Genomic DNA, 18826 nt, shown 5'->3' on the forward strand with positions numbered 1-18826 from the left:
TTGTTCTTTTCCGGTGTGCCCCACCTCATTAATGCTGAGCTGTGTCCATGCAACTGTTCTGCACATGTTACTGGAAAGGGATCCCGATCCAGACCCCAAGAGAGGGTTCTTGGATCTCATGCAAGAAAGAATTCAGGGTAAATGCATATGGTAAAATGAAAGCAAGTTTATTTAAAAAGTAAAGGAATAAAGAATGGCTACTCTATAGGCAGAGCAGCAACATGGGCTGCTTAGCTGCTTATATTTATTGTTACTTCTTGATTATATGCTAAACAAGGGGTGGATTATTCATGAGTTTTCCAGGAAAGGGGTGGGCAATTCCTGGAGCTGAGGGTTCCTCCTCTTTTCAGACCATATAAGGTAACTTCCTGATGTTGCCATGGCATTTGTAAGCTGACATGGTGCTGGTGGGAGTGTCTCTTATCATGCTAATGCATTATAATTTGCATATAATGTGCAGTGAGGACAGCCAGAGGTCACTCTCATTGCCATCTTGGTTTTGGTGGGTTTTAGCTGATTTCTTTACTGCAAACCTGTTTTATCAGCAAGGTCTTTATGACCTGTATCTTGTGTCAACCTATCTCACCCTGTGACTTAGAATGCCTAACATCTGGGAAGGCAACCCGGTAGGTCTCAGCCTTATTTTACTCAGCCTCTATACAAGATGGAGTCCATCTGGTTTAAACACCTCTGACACACATACCCAAGGAAGTCAGAAGAGGCTTCAGAGCTCCTCTCCACCCTCCTGTTACAGTCTCACCAGTGCACCACAATGTAGCAGTCTCTCATTGTTTGAGGTATCACTGGAGTTCTTTGTCTCACAACAATGAAAATTAAGGAGCGTGGACACCAAGGATGAGGTTGGAGTGAAAGTTTAATGAGTGAGAGAAGAAAGCTCTCTGCTGTGGAGAGGAGGCCTGAAAGAGGGTTGCCATTTTTACAGTTGAATGTAAAGGCTTTTATAAGAAACCGATGAGGACTGGGCAGCTCATCTGCATAAGGCATGAATTTCTGGTAGCTCCCTGCTGTCCTTCTAATGTACATGTGGGCCCTTGGCTTGAGTTACTTACTCCATATTGCTTTGTTCCCCTTACTGCACATGTCAGGGGATGAAATTTTCCATTGCAGGCATGTTTGGGCAAGTCACCTGTGTAGTCTGTCTTATCTATGAGGCTGTGGGCATGTCTTAGGCAAGCCCCCCTGTGCAAGTTCCCATATCTGTGCCTGCAGCTTGATTTTTCAGGCTGTTCTTTTGTTTAAAAGAATTCTACCGAGAACCCACCCTAACTGCCTGCCTGACTGGTTTCTTCCTTTCTCCTCTCTCACTCCTTCTCCAGATGAGGAAACAAGATCAGAGAGGGACAGTGACTTGCCAAGTTCACACTGAGATGAGTCCACCCTGTACCCTCCCCTCCTCAAAAGAGGACCTTACCAAAGGGACTGTCATCGGGGGCCCTCAACATCCATATAGTGATGACACTTGGGAAGAGATATGACAAAAGCAAGAAACAGAATCCTAAGGTCTTAAATGTAATGTTGGAAACAACATTAGAGCTGGAAAACAACTTAAGGAATAATGGTAATGAGGCATTTGCATCATTGTACAATGCTAATGTTATTTTATCTTGAAAACAATCTTGAGAAGTAGGAATTATTGTCCTCTTTCACAAGACAGGAAAAATGAGGCCAAGGGTTAGTGACTTGCTGAGGGTCACACAGTGACAGAGTGGTATCCTGGTCCCTGTCCCTGACTTCTTCCCTAGGGCTCCTCCTCCTGGGCATCTCACTCAGAGGAAGCAGGGCCATCAGTGGTACTGGTGCCAGCTCTTGGGGAGCTATTTTCCCCCAGGTGGGTTAAGTTCTCTCCTAGTATACAACAGGATGGTGGCTACACCGTCATGATAGGGAGAACAGCTATCTTAGGAGGCTGCTTGCTAGACAGAGATGGGTGTGTGTGCGTGTCTGTCTGTCTGTCTGTCTGTCTGTCTGTCTGTCTGTCCTGGGTCCAGAGCCGTCAATTCTTCAGCCTCAGTCTTCCCTCTATTGCCCTCTCCTGGACATAGGGAAGAAGTGCCTCCTCCCTGCTGTCCCCCAGGATTACTCCCTGCCTCTTCCACTCTCCCCACATCCATCCTGAAGTGGCCCCTCTGGCTGTCCACCAGGGTCCTGGCTGTGTCACTCTCTTGGCCATTGGAACGTCCCTGACCCAGGGTTCAATGCACAGTTGTCACATTTATCCCCAGGTGCTATTCCAGTCACTCCAGGTCAGTAGACACCTGTGTGTGTGTGTGTGTGTGTGTGTGTGTGTGTGTGTGTGTGTGTGTGTGTGTAGGGGAATCCAGGCTGCATTCTCCAGCCTTCATTGCTGGACGCCAAGCCAGTGCTCTGGACAATAGAGGCTGAGTCTGAGCCCTGAGTCAGTGGGTGGGAGGCAGATTCCTCGGGACATTGGGTCCCTGGCCAGAGGCTACTTGGGCTCCATTTTCCCTGTCCCCCTGCCTGGGCCAGTCCTCCAGGCCGTGGTCAGTTCCAAGTTACTGTCTTCACTGTGTCCCAAGTGTGTCTTCTCTCTCTATCCTGAGGGGTAGGAGGAGGGTTGCTCCACCCTTCCTCTGAGCCATGGTCTCCCCACCAGTGTCTGTGGGGTGAGCAGCCTCCATACAGAGCCAAGGTCTCAGCCACCCCAGGGTATGGACTTCCTGGAGGCTGCTGGGTCCCCTGTGGGAACTCAGACTTGGAGCCCAGGTGTAGAAGCTGGGGGAGAGAGCCCCAAGTCCAGCCTCTGCACTTCAGTCTTGGGAGAGGCTGACCCTGCAGCCCAGAGGCTCTTAGCTGCCTGGTCACAGCTTTCTAAGGAGGCAGCGGCCAGCAGGAGGCAGCAGTGAGAGCGTGGGCTCTGCGCGGTCCCAGGACAGGAGGGAGGAGCAGCCCCAGTCAGGGCAGGGCCATCCAGAGGCCCAGCAAAGGACACCTGTCCCGACAAGAGAAGCTGCCAACCCCTCTGTGGGTCCCCAGCTTTTAGTCACTGTTTCCTCTCCTCCAGGATGGGACATCACTGCCTCTGGCATTCGTGAGCCCGATTCTTTCTTCCCTAACCTTAGGGGAAGCTGAAGCAGAACGGAGGGAAGCAGAGGACACAGTGGCCCTGGTGGGGAGGGCAGCTCAGCCCAATAGGGTTTCTGAGGCAGACGGGAGCTGAGGTTCTCTGTAAACAGCACTCTCAGGGTTCCCCTGCCTCCACCAAGAGCCCTGGGGTCTGCAGCTCCGAGCAGAAACCACTGGTCACATTTCCTCGGGACTTTCTCCCTGATGCCCTTTGCTCTGGGCCCCTCCCCAGGTTCCTGCCCCCAAGGAGAACACTGGGCTGTGGGGCTGCTTAGGATGGCAGCCTCTGGGTTTGGGAAGTCCTGGGTGAGTCCAGCACTGCACAAGTCCTCCAGCTTCATAAGATCGATACTGGCCCCAATCTTCACCCCTCCTCTAACCCCCTGGGGCCACTCTGGGAGAAGCTCCCCACCCCATGCTTAAGTGGCCTCAGATCAAGTAGACTTCCACATAGGGCTCTGGTCTTCCAGGTGGGTCACGTGTAGAAGGATCGCTGCACATGCTGTAGCCTGCAAGAAACAGGGAGAGCTGAGGAAGTGTCCTGCCCTGCCCACGGTGCCCCGATGCTCCTCCACCAGCCCCAGCCCCTTTCTGGCTCTGCCTCTGGTTCCTTCCAGGTCATCCCCTTAGGGTTGTGCTGGGTGGTCTCCGCCTGGCCGCCCTCCTCCCCAGGTGGAAGCGTCATAGTCCTTTTGACTGGACACAGGCCAAGGGCCATACCACGTGGGGACTCGAGGTCATAACCCTTAGTGCAGTTACCCAGAGCTCTGCCCTCAGGAGGCTGGGAGGTGGGCTCTACTCACTTGCCATGTGTCTCTTCTTCCAAAACCCATAGACCATGATCAGCATCAGCACCAGGAGGGTCAGCACCACCCCAAGCACAGTGGAGTAAACATCCTGGTGCCTGAGAAGAAGGGACAGGGTGGAAGCGGGTGAGCACCAAGGTCCCCCATCCTAACCCACGTTGGGATCGGACCAGCAGCAGAAACCCTGAGAGCGTGCCCTTCCCGGGGTAGACGGCCACCCTCTTCCTTACAGACCCGGCCACAGAAGCAAGTGTGACATCCGGAGTTAAGAGGAGGACGTCCCCAGGTAGAGGGGAACATCTCTCTACTTTGGTACCTCTCCTCCATTATGCCCCCAAATCTGTTCATCAGTGAGGATGAGGATTCTAGGAGACTCCCATTTGTGGCTAAAGAGATCAAGATGCTTGCTCTCCTCAAGGGGTCTGAGGATGCCTGTTCCCCCACTCTATCCTCTGTAGCAGATGCTGTCGGGCCCCTGCCTGTGTCCTCTTGCCTGTGTCATTTCCACCTGCACACATCATCAGCACCTCCTTTTCTGTGGGTGGGAGGCTGAGGCCTTTCTCTTGTCACTAGAGCCCTCTATGCCACACACAGCAGGCAGCCCTCTACTGATAACCAATTGGAGTTGGTGTGTAACTATGCGGGCTCCTTTGCCCTTCAGATGTGTGTTTTATGCTAGATCTGACTCTCCCCGTTGGGATTAGGCTCTTGTTGTGCACAGCAGCTGCTTGGTTAAGTACTCTTTATTAGAGGCCTTCCCTGCCCTGTCCCACTCCCCCACCTTTTTTCCAGTGTTCATATAAGACGCAAATCCCTGACTCAGAGTCAGTTTCTCTAGAGGAATCCAAATTAAAGCATCCCCCATTTTCCACTTCCTACTCCATGAGGCGCATCCTTGCCCTATCCTCACCCTCTCCTCTCCATCCACAGACACTTCAGGACACCCATCCCCTGACATGCTCATCTCTGACTCTCATCCCCCCTGGCCCTAATTCTACCAACTCTCATTGCCCCCTACCCTCATCTCTGCAGCCCCCCTCTCCCCTGATACTCCTCCCACTGACCTTCTTCTCTGACTCTCCTCCCCCACAACCTTCATTTACCCCCATCCTCATCCCCCTGACCCTAATGCCCCCGACTCTCATAGTCCCCTGCCCTCATCCCTGCAACCCTCATCTCCCCCTACCTTTATCCCGACCCTCCTCTCTGCTGACACTTCCCCCACCTTCCTCCCACCAACTCCGCTCCCCACTGACCCTCATCCTTCCTGATCCTCCTTTCACCTGACCTTCCTCCTCCCTGATCCTCCTCCCCCGACCCTCCTTTCCCCTGTCCCTCCTGTCCCCACCCTTCTTTCCCCTGCCCCTCCTCCCCACTGACCCTCCTTTCCCCTGCCCCTCCTCCCCACCCCCGACCCTCCTTTCCCCTGCCCCTCCTCTCTCCTGCCCCTCCTCTCCATTGCCATCCTTTATGTCACTTCCAGTCCCCCACCTCACATTCAGAAGCAGGCCACATTGGGTTCCTGGGGAGCAAAAGGGGAAGGTCAGATATAAGACTTGCACCTCCAGGTCTGTTTGGGCACTAAGTGCTGGTGCCACTCAACCCCAGGCCCCACAGGTACCTGATGGAGGGCATGGAGGGTAGTCTGTTGAGGAGAGATCTGCTGGTGAGGCAGAGCCCTGTGGTGGGCGATCTGGTGCTGAGGTCCCCAGACTTAGTGGAGATGGATTCTGGGCCAGCAGAGGAGTCCCTGGCATTGCTGGGAGACGCGGTCACTGTCTGGGACCCCATGGTCCTCCTGGGTCCCTGGCTGGTGGTGCTGGTAGCAGTGAAGCTGTAGCCTGTCTTGGAGGCAGGTCTGGTGGAGGCTAAGAGCCTAGGCAAGGTGATGAGTCCTGGGGTGAACACCATCACACCAGTGGTAAAAGGGGCATCAGGGCCTGAGGTAGGGGCTTGGCCAGTTGTGACAGTTCCACTCTTGAGGATGTTGTCCAGATGTGTGAAAGGAATGTTCCTCTCAGTTTGGGGAGCTGAAAGACAGAAAGGGAGGAACGTTAGATTGACTTGGGTGCCTCAGTGCTGGGAGCAGATCCTGGCAACCCACACAGTTGCCTGGAAGCCTGGATGGGGGCCTGTCCTCTTCTCTTCTCCTTGACCTTGGGCCTAGGATTCTGGCTGCTGAGTGATCAGATGTGTATTTGTTCAGAAAGTGATATCAGGAGGAAGGAAGTAGGTGTACTGAAGAAGGGAGAGACTACCACAATTTCTTTTTCCCTCCCGTGTCAGGCCACCTGTTCCCTCTCCATCCCCATCTCTCTCTTTTCACTTTCCAGGCCCTCTTCGTTCCTATGGGCCAAAAAGATTTCCATAAAATAATGTCAAACAAGAACTTTTCCAGCTATTCCATAATTGACAAGTAGGGTCCAGAGATGAGGACAAGGAGGCATCAAGGTCCTCAAATTCCAAAGAAAGCTGCAGTCAGTTGGGGTCAGACACTTTCCTTGGGGGCTCACTAAGAGATATCAAACTGGTCCTGCTACACTCACCCATCAACCCAGCCCTTTTCCATCCCATTTTCTAGAAGAAGCCTGGGTTTTGGACAGTGGATGAGGAGGGAGGTGGAGGAGCTGTGAGGCATCAACCTAGCAGTGAGTGATGGTTTTATCTCAGCATGGAATGTGAAAATTGGAGACAGAGGCTGCTACATCCCACTACTGTGCATGGAAAGGGCAATTTCCTAAGGGCCAAATTGTCATCATGGAAGGTGGCTGAGCTTGAGCCATTTTTCTGGAGAAGGGGACCCAGAACAAGCAGCATTGGTGAGGATGGGAATAGAGGAAGACGCTCACCTGGAGTCAGAGCTCCCACAACATCATACTCAGCAGTGGGGACACCCCCAAAGAACTCTTCAGAGAATTCACACATCAGTGCCTTGGGAGAGTATATGGACACTCAGAGAGGATCTCAAAGGGCTGGCAGACAAGCAATGACATCCAACAGGGAAAGCATTCCTACAACACTCAGTTAAGCCACATAACCATCTCCCCCTCCCTCATTCCTGCATCAACACACTAAGAGGGCCAAGAAGAGGTAACCAAGAGGAACCCCGCCTTCTTCACAGCCCAAGATGCAGGATGGGGAGCTGGGCAGCCAGTAACTTTCCTTCTCCACTTTAGATGCCTTGGACCATAAAACCTGGTCTTCAGGGGGCAGTGGAATATCCTATACTGCTAGATGACCAGAGTTTGTAGTTGGAATAAGGATTTTTTTTATTTCCTAATAACAGAAAAGGTCTGCAAAGTTGAAATCTTCACAAATTGTCCTTAAGAGGTGGAAAGTGAGATGTGACATAACATGATTAGAGGAAATGATGAGAAAAAATAAAAGCATATAATGTTTAATGTTTCTATCCCTAAATATTAAGACTTCAGTGAACCAGTTTCGACTTCCCTGGGTCTCACTCAGAACTGGAGAGGGGAGCAATGAGATTTGGCTCCACATTTTAGCGACAGCATTTTCCCTAGTTCAGACCCTGTGGAAGATGGAGATGCAATTGGGTTAGGTGAACGGGGAAGGATGGATAGTAAATTGCATAATAACTGGCTGCCTTTTCCGGGGTCTTTAGCTGAGTCCTTTCCCTTTTCTATCTAATAAATGTGGAAGGACCCCACGGCTTGGTGCTCCACTCTTTTTTGCCTACACTCAAGGGAGAGCTTTTAGATCTTGATATTTTTAAGAACTTTATTGAGATATAACTCACATCCCATTTATAGTATAAAGCTCAGTGGTTCTTTATTATGCTTACAAAGTTATGCAACCATCATCACAGTGAGTTTCAGAACACCTTCATCATCTCCAAAAGAAACCCCTTACTGTTTATCTATGATTCTGTATCCCCTTTTCCTTCCCCCAGCCCTAAGCAACCACTAATCTACTTTCTGTGTCTGTAGATTTCTCTAATTCCCTGGACTTTAAACACTATCTTTATAGAGATACTTTCAAATACATACCCCAGCTCTGACCTCTCACCCTAGCTCCAGGCAGGTATATCACTGCTGGCTGCATTTCCCCACTTGGGGTTCTAGGAGGTATCTTAAACTTAACATGACAAAAGAGAGCTCTTGATTTTTCTCCTCCAAATTAGCTCCTCTTTCAGATTTACCCTACGCTATCAATGGTACCATCATCCACCTGCTGATCAAATAGAAAACCTTGGATCATCCATGATTCCTCCTTTTGGCTCACCCCTCAACTGAGCAAATCCTGTCCTACCTTCAAAACATATGAGCTGAACAGAAAGTCTGAAAAACATAGATTTGAGCCCATTCACATCTCTCTGCCACTAGTGCCTACATTGTACTCCAGGCCACTGTTGTTTCCAGCCAGATGCCCACAATGGCCTCTCTACCCGTGTTCATACCATTCACAATCCATCCTCAACAAGTGGCCACTACATTCTTAAAAACAAGTCATGACAGCTCTCTGAGCTCTCTAGTAGCTTCCTCTTATACCTAAATTCCAACTTATGGTCTTCAGGGCTGCTTGACTCTCCAACCTCCTCATTCATTGCCTCACACTCCATATAGAGTGACTAAATAAGCCTTATACAAGCCAAGCTCCTTCTGACCTCAGGACCTTTGCATATTCAGCTCTTGCGACAAAGTGCTCTTCAAAGCACCCAGATTTCAACAGGGCTGGAAAATGCTCACCATTCAGGGCTCTGCTTGGTGTTGTCTGCTAAGGGAGGTGTTCTCTGACCCCCAGTACTTCAGTAGCTCCCCCACCACCGAGTCGCTTACTAGTTCATGAACACCTCTAGTTATTTGCAATTATTTGAAACAGTTCCTAGTTTCTTATGAACACCTCTTGTTTTCTGCAATTATTTGTCTGGATAATAAGTGTGCCTGTCATCTCCCATAGTGCAGGATTGTGAGTGTTTTTGCTCACTGTCTCCTTAGAGCCTAGAATAGTGCCTGCCCCATAATAGGGGCTCAATGAATTATGTTGAAGCAATGAGTGAATAAAACACAGCACAGACAGTGCCAAGTTTGAACCTTATCTCAGCCACCTGCTAGCTCTGGGACCCCGGACAAGCTCAGAGTCACACTGGGTTTTCAGGTCTCATTATCTTCATCTGTAAAATGGTGACAATAGTGCCACGAATAGTGCCATAAAGGCACTCTGAAAACACTACAGTGCAACATGACCACTGATGGATTATTATCCTTATTATCTCTGATGTTAGTGGAGTGTGGGGCAGGAGGGACTCCCTCCACCCGTCCCAGAGCCACTGCAGCCTGCTCACCTGGAGACACATCCAGCTGGAAGCCCATCAAGGGGTACAGGATCCCAGAGGTGTTGCGCATGCACCAGTATCGGCCTGAGTCCTGGAGCTTGAGGGCCACCATGGTGATGTTGACCACCTTGGCCTGGGCATCGTCCTGCAGCAAGTAGCGGGGCCCTTTCACCCAGACTCGGGCAAAGCCAGGCTCACACTTCTTCTTCCTGATTTTGCACCAAACCTTGCCCTCCACGCGGTTTTTGTAGCCCTTATAGGAGCACTGCACAGACAGAGTCTCCCCTTCAAGGAGCCTCACTTTTGTGTATACACTGTCAGCAGAGGGGCCTGTGGAGACAATACTTATTGAATAAGGTCTGGCAAGAGGAGAGGAAGAAGACATCATGAAAGTTGAAGATCATGGTGAAGGGTAGAGTGGATATTGTCCTGCTGTCACAGAACCCACAGATTGAGGGGGAAATACAGCCCCGCCTTCAGGGAGCTTGCCCCAATCTGAAGGGAGGTGAATGGGCCCTGAAAACAGCTAGCTTCCAGTATTACAGTGGAGACACAACCCCCGCTCTCAGGGAGCTTTCAGTCTGATGGAGGAGGCAGGTATATCCCTCAGTGAGTCCCCAGTCTAATGGAGGAAACGCAGCATTTACACTCGGAGCTCCATCAGACACAGCCCCTTTCCTCATGGTATTTTCTAGTCTGATGGGAAAGTGACAAGCTCTGTCTTCAGGGATTCCCAGGGAATTCATTTTTGTTTTGTTTTGTTTTGTTTTGTTTTGTTTTTGAGACGGAGTCTCGCTCTGTTGCCCAGGCTGGAGTGCAGTGGCACGATCTCAGCTCACTGTAACCTCCGCCTCCTGGGTTCAAACTATTCTCCTGCCTCAGCCTCCTGAGTAGCTGGGACTACAGGTGCCTGCCACCACGTCCGGCTAATTTTTTGTATTTTTAGTAGAGACGGGATTTCACCATGTTAGCCAGGATGGTCTCAATCTCTTGACTTCGTGATCCACCTGCCTCGGCCTCCCAAAGTGCTGGGATTGCAGGCGTGAGCCACTGTGCCCGGCATCCCAGGGAATTCTTGTGGGAAAAACCCAGGTCATGCCCTCAGTGAGACAGATGCAGAGACACAAACACAGGTCATTAAGTTGTGAAATTTCAGTGCCCAACTAACTAGGTAGATAAGAAAATCTAGTATTTGAAAATATGATTAACAGTTATTTATTTCACAAATAGGTTCACTTAGTCCTCTTTAAATAATAACTCTCCTTAGTTCATTCCATCTGGTGTTTAGTTTTAAAATATTCTAGTTACATAAAACCCATAGATCAAGCCTGTCTAAATATACATGTAAACAAACTCCCAATGGAGTGTGAACCACAGGATTCTACAATTATTCACTTTCCACCTGCAATATCTTTCTCTCTATGCTGAGGAGTAAGATGTGGTCCAAGCCTTCATAATCCACAGTCTGGTAGAGACAGAGCAGAACTGGGGTGTGCAGGGTGACTCAGGGGACAGAGAGAGGGAGAAAGCTGCCTTGGGCTCCCTCCACCCCTCTGCCTGCCTTAAGCTCAGCTGACTCTTCTGATAATTTCACCCCAGAGTCTTCCAAAAAAACCACATATAAAAAGACTCTCCCCCATAGTAGAGAACAGAGAGCACACATTTTGGAGTCAAAATAAACAAGGGTTGAAACCCTGTTTCTACCACTTAGTGGTGTGATTAGGTCACCTGTTTGATACAGAAATATCAAAACAGACACTTGACTGATACAGAAATATCTCTGTTTCTTTATCAGTCAAGTGAGAATAGCACCACACCCCTCACAGGTTGCTGTGAGAATTCTGCCCCAGGTCAGTGCTTTGCACACAGTGCATGCTCAACTCATGCTTCCTTTTCCCACATGCTGGGGCCTCCCAGTTCCCCCAATGGAACCCAGAGCTGTGACAGTCAAGGGCCCAGAATCCAGGACATCTGTCCCACCAGAATCCAGGATATCCGTCCCAAGTCCCAGCCAGCAGCCACTAGAGCTGAGGCTCTGTGTGAAGCAGCACCCTCTCTAAGCATCCCTCTGTCCCTTGCAAACTAAACAGAATGATCCAACTTCATTATTTGGTGGATGAGCCCAGGATTTCTTAGCACAAGAGAGACCCCTTTCTGCCCTGGCAGTGGGAAGCTGTTTCTCTACCCTCTGGGAGGTGCAGAGTTGGGTGACCTTGGGATGGGTCTCCAGGGCAATGTCTTCATGTGTGCCTACACCTCCCACCCCTCTCACAGGCAGTGGTGAGTTTTGCCAACCCCCACCATGCCCAGAACTGAACAGGAAGTGGTAACTTGGTTGCCATGGCAGCGAGAGGGGCAGGAATGGGTGAGGTTCCTCAAGGAGCATTGGTATCTGTGAGGTGGGAAAGGCATTCACACACTGGTCCCTTCAGGACAGAGGCAGGGACAGGATGTGGCATCAGCATTTCAAGAAAAATGTTCAAATTCAGTTCAAAACACACATGATGCAATGATTGCTGTCATAACTAAGCAGGGCTTCCTGACAGAGGCCAAGCAGAGAAAGCTATTTGTGTGAGGAAATTGAGGGCTCTGCTTTAAAGCCTGAGGAAGCCTAGCAGATAAAGGAGCCAATGCAGAGAGGGTCCAGAGCTTTATCTTGGCTTGGGAGGCCTGGGTTAGCTTCGCCTGGGGCCTGATATTAGGGTAAAGAGCTAAGTCAGCCCTAATCTCCTCCTTCCCCAACCCACAAAACACTAAACAAGAAAACTGCTGGTAAGGAGGGTAAGAAAAAGGCCCTGAGCTCCTGCCTCTGTACCCACTCCCTCCTCCACAAGTCAGCCCCTTCTCCCCTCACCTGAGACGCAACCCTGTGGCCACAGCAGCAGCAGCAGCAGGAAGGCTGGGGCCATGGTTCCATCCAGCTGGGCAGTGTCAGGCCTGGAGATCCAAGGTGAGGGCCCACCCGACACAGGATGTGCCACCTGGGCCTGCCAGGGAAGGACCCGGGGTTCTAAAAGTGAAGCTGCCCATTTAGGGAAGTGAGGCAGTGTGGGACCCACTGCCCCCAGCCAACCGCAGGGATTCATTGAGCCTATTATGAGGGCGGTGCTGGCAGCTGTTTCCGCCCTTTTCCTCGGAACTTCAGGCAGGTGTGGCTGCTCCACCCAGTCTGGGGCCCCAAGCCGGGAGGACTCACAGTCAGAGGGCTCCCCGCCCTCCCCAACCTCCCCCAGAAACTGGTCCCTAGGATCCAGCAAGGGGGCTGGGGTGAGGCTTCTGGAACGTCAGGTATAGACCTTCCTGGAATCTTCTGGGCTCAGAGACCCAGGGGTGCGGGCTCTTAGGCTGAGATGGAGCATCTCAGACCCTAGTTTCTTACATATATACATTCACAGGGAAGTTCTTATAAACTCTCATTCATTCATTCATTGCAGATTCTTTCTGTTCCTTCCTCTCTCTCTCTCCCAGGCTCCTGGCTGCTCAGAACAGTCACTTGTGTTCACTGTTGCAAATAACCTCTTACAGGCTCACTTGAAATCTTACTTTTGTCAAGCGGGAAAAATGCAAATTGTTAAGACTCAGGGCATAAATTTTGGGTTGAGGGAGGGGTTCCTGTACTCTCACACACAGGTGTGCATGCACATGCACTCACACTCACAGTCTCACTTTGTCTTTTATTCACTTTCACACACACACACACACGCCCATGCACACAGTCTCACACACACCCCAGCAGCCTCTCCTTTTCCCTATCCATACGTCTCCTCTCTCTGTCCCTCTCCCTGCCTCTCCTCCTGTCGACTCTACTCACCATCAGCTCCCTCTAGACTCCTAGTCCCTCGTGCAGGCTTCCTACAGCCTCCGCAGTACTTCCCCTCACCCACCTCATCTCAAGACCCCCTTCCTCCCCTGCCTCCAGCCTACGTCAGCACGCAGGCAAGTGCCCTCCACTTCCTCCTGCTCAATGCTATCTCGCCTGTACAGCCACCAGCTCCAGTGGAAATGACCCAGCACTAGGCCCAAGACCACACCCTTCACTTACCCCAAGGCCTAGAATCAGAAGCATCAATTTTTGATGTCCGGTACCTGTGTCATCTGCTCCTTCAGTGTGTGGGGACCCAGCTGGACTCCCGTGATTATGTATGCTCCCCCTACTCACTAGTGCCATGTTTCTACTCCTTAGATGGGACTGTCAAAAGGTAAACTGAGGCACAATAAAATTTTAAACAGATTATTTCAGCAAACAACAATTCATGAATCAGGCAGCTCCAAACAGAAGAGGTTGAGGAGCTCCACTGGGGGAATGCAAGGGGAAGACTCCTACAGGACAAGTAAACTGAAGAAAATATTTAATTAGTTATAGTTATATAGTTCCCTTATTTGGCCTATCCTGTTGGAAAGACCCTAGTTAATTATATAAGTTTCTTTTGATTGGTTGAGCTTAAGTTCTATTTTTCCTTAATATACACATTTACAAGAAATAGCTCGTGTTAAGTTTCACTGATATTTGCAAATCAAGCAAAGTTGAGGTCACTTATGAGGCCTAACTGTTTTTTTAATTTTTGCTCAGGGACTCTTCAGGCCTGGTCTCCATTTTCATTAATTTTAACAGGACTCAGAGCAAAAAGTCCTCAAGCTTGCATGGCCACAATCTTAAATTGACCTTGAAGCCCCAAGCTCCAAGCAAAGAAGTCTATCTCGGCTGACCCTAAGCTTTTGTAGTCTCTCAACTCATTCACTCACTCATTAATTCATTCATTCATTTGTTCATTCCCACAACCTCATTGCTATGCATGGGGCTAGGTAGGCACTGGGGGCGTAGGAATGAGACACGATTGTCACTTGAGACCTCTCAGCTCACAGACGTGTTTTGTTTTCCTTATTCACCCTTCCTTTTTCAATGTTTCTCACCCAGTCCTCAGAACTTCCTGAGCTCCCTGAGTTCAGGGGCCATCTCCCCTCCCCAGCACACACAGTAAGTTCCTCCATCCCTTCCCCCATCAGAACAGTAAGTTGCTTCAGGAGTGGGGGATTTATCTCTTGTGGGGACTTTATGCGCTTGGAATCCATGATTCTATGAAACTGATACAGTGCGCCCAGCACTGAGCCAATCATCGTCTAAAGTGTGACCCTTGGGATCACTGTGCTGATGAGGGTAGAAAGAATCAAACATTCATTCGCTGATCGAGGAAGTATGCACTGGATTCAATCTTTCTTAAGAGAAATTTGGAAGCATTGGTCAAAATCATTAAAAATACGTATACATTAGACTTTTACATCTATCATTTGATTTAATACAGCAGTGTATTTTGTCTTTATATTTATTTTTCCCATTTAAAAATTAAGGCCTAATTTACATACAGTACTATTCACCCTTTTCAGTGACGAGTTCTGGGAGTTCTAGAGACTTGTATCCAATGCCGTAATGGAGACAGAGAAGAGTGCCATCATCCCGAAAAGCTTTCCTCTGCTCCTTGTTAGTCATCCCTTCAGTCCCAGACAAACACTGATCTGGTGGGGTTTTTTCCTGTCATTTCTCTCTTTCCAGAATGGAAAAGTGAAGCACTTTATGTTGATTTATTCTGGTGAAGTCCAATATATAATTTTTATGAATCAATTTTTATGTCATATCTAATAAATCTTTGCTTAACCCAAGGTCACAATGACTTTTTTCAACAATTCTGTGAGCTATAATTCACATAATATAAAACTGACCCATCTAAAGCATACAATTCAGTGGTTTTCAATATATTCACTGAGTTGTACAACTAACACCAATTTTGCAGGATTTCCCCACCCAAAGAAACCCCATGCCCGTTAGCAGGCACTCCCTGGATCCGTTTACTGCAGACTTGGTGGCTTAAAACAGTATTAAGTTATTGTCTCGCCATTCTGAAGGCAGAAGTCTGAAGTCAGTTCACACTGTATTGAGATGAAGATGTCGACAGGGCTGCAGTCTCTCCAGAGACACTAGGGAAAAATTTGTTCCTTGCCTTTCCAGCTTCAGGTAGCTGCCAGCATTCTTTGGTTTGGGGCTGTTTTACTCCAATCTTCAAGGCCAGCATCTTCAGTCTCCCTCTGCTCCATCTTCCCATCACTTTCTCCTCTTTGTGTTCAAATCCCACTCTGACTCTCTTACATAAGGATACATGTGATTGCATTTAGTTCCCATCTACGTAATCCAGGATAATCTCACCATCTCAAGATGTTTAACTCACTCATATCAGCAAAGATCATTTTTTTTTTGTTTTTTGCCATATAAGGGTAACAATCACAGGTTCCAGGGATTAGGACACAGATATCTTTTAAGAGACCATTTATCAGCTTACCACAGTCCCCATTCCTACAGTCCCAGGCAACCACTAATATTTTTGTCTTTCTAGACAAAAATATCTTCAATCAAAAATGCCTTTATCAATTCTGGATATGTCATAAAAACATAATTGAACAATATGTGTTCCTTGTGACTGGATTCTTTCATTTGGCATGTTTTCCAGGTTTGTCCATGTTGTAGCTGTACTTGTGCTATACGTTGTATTAATACATCATTCCTTTTAAAGGCTGAATAATATTCCACTGAATGGATATATATGTTTACCATTTATCAGTTGACAAATATTTTATTTGTTTCCACTGTTCAACTATTATAAGCAGTGTTACTATGACTATTCATGTACAAGTTTTTGTGTGGACATACGTTTTCATTTCTCTTGAGTACATAACCAATAGTAGAACTACTGGGTCATATGGCAACTCTATGTTTAACATTTTCAGGAACTACCAATAGTTTTCCAAAGTGGCTGCAAATTTTACACCCTCTCCAGCAATGTATGAGTTCTCATTTCTCTACAATCTCTCCAATACTTGTATTGGCTTTCTGTTTACAGCCATCCAGTGAATGTACTTAAGTTTTGAATTGTAGTTACCTAATGACTAATGATATTGAGCATCTTCATCTTGAGCATGCACAATTTGCTCATTTGTATACCCTTGGAAAAATATTTATTCAATTGTGTTGTTTGTCTTTTACAGCATTTGAACAATGTTGTGCCACATTTTTCTGGCTTCAATTGTTTCAGATAAGAAATTCACTACAATTAGAATTGGTATTCCTTTATAGATAATTATTTCTCTCTGGCCATTTTTACGATATTTTCTTTGTCTTTACTTCTCAGAAGGCTATCTATGCTGTGTCTTGGTGTGTATTTCTTTGGGCTTATTATATTTGGGATAAAATCAGATTCTTGTATTTGTAACTTTAGGTCTTTGGGCAGATTTGATTACTTTAGACGTTTCTTTGAATACATTTTCAGTCTCACATTTTTTCTCCTTTCCTTCTGGGACTCTGATGATGCAAAGGTTAGCTCTTATGTTAATGTCCCGCAGATAGCTGACGTTCTGGTCATTTATTTTCAGTCTGTTTTCTCTCTGATCAGACTGAGTAAATTTTCTCAGTCTGCCTTCCAGTTAACTAATTACATCCTCTGTCATCTCCACTCTCCTACGGAGTCCACGTAGTCAGCTTTTAATTTTGGTTATTGTCGTTTTTAGTTCCCACATATTCTATTGTCATTCTGTTCCCAGAAGAAGAAAAAAGAGTAAATGGAGCAGAAGAACTATTAATACTTGAAAAAATGGTACCGAGGATTTTTCAGAATTAGACAAATATCTAAGACATCAAATTGAATGTATTCAGAGAGTTCCAAATAGAATGGATACTTAAATAGCCCATATTAAGCATACTATAATAAAAATTCAAAGAGAAAATTATAAAAATGTTCCAGAGATAAAATAGGTCAGTAAAGATGAATAACCATCAGACTGTTATCAGACATTTCCATAGCAACACTGGGAAGGTAAGAAAACAATGAAATATGTTCAAAATTTTGAAGAAGTATATGTCTTTTACATGTTAACTTATGACATAAAATTTGCCACCCACTTGAAAATTGTGGTTAAGGGAATTACGACAATTTTGAGGCCAAGGATGTTAAGATAAAATATTTAAAAGTTATAACTAAATGCTAGCTCTTAGCATCTGATTGAGGAAGACCTATTTTTGTTTAGTCCACTTTTATCCCACTACCCATGTTCTTTAAGTGAAGCTCAGTATTTCCATACTGTAAGTGAACACGTCCCAATCTGCTGCAGTTGCATAAGTTCAGTAAATCGAGAAAAGATTGGGTTCAGCCACATATGACTGAAAACCAAACAGCAGTGGCTTCGACACACAACTGTTTATTTTTAGGTATCATTTTAATTATGAAAATTCCCAAGCATGCACAAAAGTATCTCACAAAAAAGAGATAATCGGCTGGGCACGGTGGCTCATGCCTGTAATCCCTGCACTTTGGGAGGCTGAGGCAGGTGGATCACCTGAGGTCAGGAGTTTGAGACCAGCCTGACCAACATGATGAAACCCCATCTCTACTAAAAATACAAAAGGTTAGCTGGGCGTGGTCGTGGGTGCCTGTAATCCCAGGTACTCCAGAGGCTGAAGCAGGAGAATCACTTGAACCTGGGAGGCGGAGGTTGCAATGAGCCACGATCGCACCACTGCTCTCCAGCCTGGGTAACAAGAGCAAAACTCAGACTCGAAAAAAATTTTTTTAAAAAGATAATCATACTTCTAGCCCCCATGTAGCATCACTCAGCTACATTTACTCTTGCCTTCCATTTTTTTTTATTGGCAATACTATTCCATAGGTTGTGCTGTGTACTTCACATAGACTCACAGAAAATAATCTCTAGTGTCTAGATTCGTGTTTCGGGCAACACAAGCTGACAGCATTACTTAGACATCTGAGATCGTAAAACTCAGCTGATGCCACCTGGGTATAAGTCCTAAAGGAAATCTCACCTGATTCTACCAGAGAACATGATGGACAATATTCCTCACAGCATTGTTTGCAATATGAAGAAGTGGAGGCAAAACAGCACATGCACCCTGGGTTCAGAATGATACACTGTGGGATATGTACACAATGGAATAAGCACTGAAAAGAAGTGGGCTCTGTATATGTACCCGGGAAGGAGCAAAACGAATATATGAAAAATGTCTATCACAATTTCTTATATGTAAGTTAAAATACAGTCACAGAAAAAAAAGCTGCAGGCTTTACAAGAATATATTCAAATTTAAGGTTACATATCACATGCATTAGAGTGGTTGCCTTGGAGGGGAAGGCAAGTGGAAATAGGGAATGAGGATTAAAAAAATAAAGAAAGCAAAAGTTGTGCCTCTCACAGATAGGTGATGGTCATGTGGAAGGAGCTGAGATATACATGAAGAGACTTCTGTTCGATGCCTATATTAGTCCCTTTTCATACTGCTATGAAGAAATACCTGATGCTGGGTAATTTATAAAGAAAAAGAGGTTTGATGGACTCACAGTTCCACATAGCTAGGTAGGCCTCACAATCATGGCAGAAGGTGAAGAAGGAGCAAAGGCACATCTTACATGGTGGCAGAGAGCATGTACAGGGGAACTGGCCTTTATAAAACCATCAGATCTTATGAGACTTAATCATTATCAGGAGAAAAGGAAGGGAAAACTTGCCTCCATGATTCAATTACTTCCCACCAGGTCCCTCCCAACACATGGGGATTATGAGAGCT

The 18826-nt window shown here is 47.2% G+C and overlaps 1 protein-coding gene across 2 annotated transcripts, besides 3 other annotated features; it reads right to left on the reverse strand.

Annotated features, from left to right (window-relative positions):
• Positions 1 to 856: 856 nt before the first annotated feature.
• TREML2 (triggering receptor expressed on myeloid cells like 2) lies at positions 857 to 12257 on the reverse strand. 2 transcript variants are annotated; one of them, NM_024807.4, is made up of 5 exons: positions 12062 to 12257; positions 9217 to 9537; positions 5533 to 5941; positions 3909 to 4009; positions 857 to 3614 (listed from the first exon to the last, which is right to left on the reverse strand). In NM_024807.4, the coding sequence occupies exons 1-5, from the start codon at positions 12114 to 12116 to the stop codon at positions 3535 to 3537; spliced, it is 966 nt and encodes a 321-aa protein (NP_079083.2). In that variant the 5' UTR covers positions 12117 to 12257; the 3' UTR covers positions 857 to 3534. The 2 variants fall into 2 exon arrangements, with proteins under 2 accessions (NP_079083.2, XP_011513219.2); XM_011514917.3 differs by lacking the exon at positions 9217 to 9537.
• Positions 2451 to 2958: an enhancer, noted in NCBI's record as "H3K4me1 hESC enhancer chr6:41159081-41159588 (GRCh37/hg19 assembly coordinates)". NCBI's record gives its function as "activates a minimal SCP1, AML or CMV promoter by ChIP-STARR-seq in primed H9 embryonic stem cells {active_cell/tissue: H9 hESC(primed)}" and the evidence as "EXISTENCE:reporter gene assay evidence [ECO:0000049][PMID:30033119]".
• Positions 2577 to 2646: an enhancer, noted in NCBI's record as "active region_24502". NCBI's record gives its function as "activates an Ori minimal core promoter by ATAC-STARR-seq in GM12878 lymphoblastoid cells {active_cell/tissue: GM12878}" and the evidence as "EXISTENCE:reporter gene assay evidence [ECO:0000049][PMID:35858748]".
• Positions 12476 to 12545: an enhancer, noted in NCBI's record as "active region_24503". NCBI's record gives its function as "activates an Ori minimal core promoter by ATAC-STARR-seq in GM12878 lymphoblastoid cells {active_cell/tissue: GM12878}" and the evidence as "EXISTENCE:reporter gene assay evidence [ECO:0000049][PMID:35858748]".

Source organism: Homo sapiens, chromosome 6 (assembly GCF_000001405.40).
Source record: "Homo sapiens chromosome 6, GRCh38.p14 Primary Assembly".
Lineage (NCBI taxonomy): Eukaryota > Metazoa > Chordata > Mammalia > Primates > Hominidae > Homo > Homo sapiens.

Excerpts from the sequence above, each read along its gene's own strand:
- TREML2 (NM_024807.4), bottom strand. The coding sequence starts at position 12,116 with ATGGCCCCAGCCTTCCTGCTGCTGCTGCTGCTGTGGCCACAGGGTTGC. Across the intron at positions 5,942-9,216 it reads CCAGCTGGATGTGTCTCCAG|CTCCCCAAACTGAGAGGAAC; the intron begins GTGAGCAGGCTG and ends TCTGTCTTTCAG. Across the intron at positions 3,615-3,908 it reads GAAGAAGAGACACATGGCAA|GCTACAGCATGTGCAGCGAT; the intron begins GTGAGTAGAGCC and ends TGTTTCTTGCAG.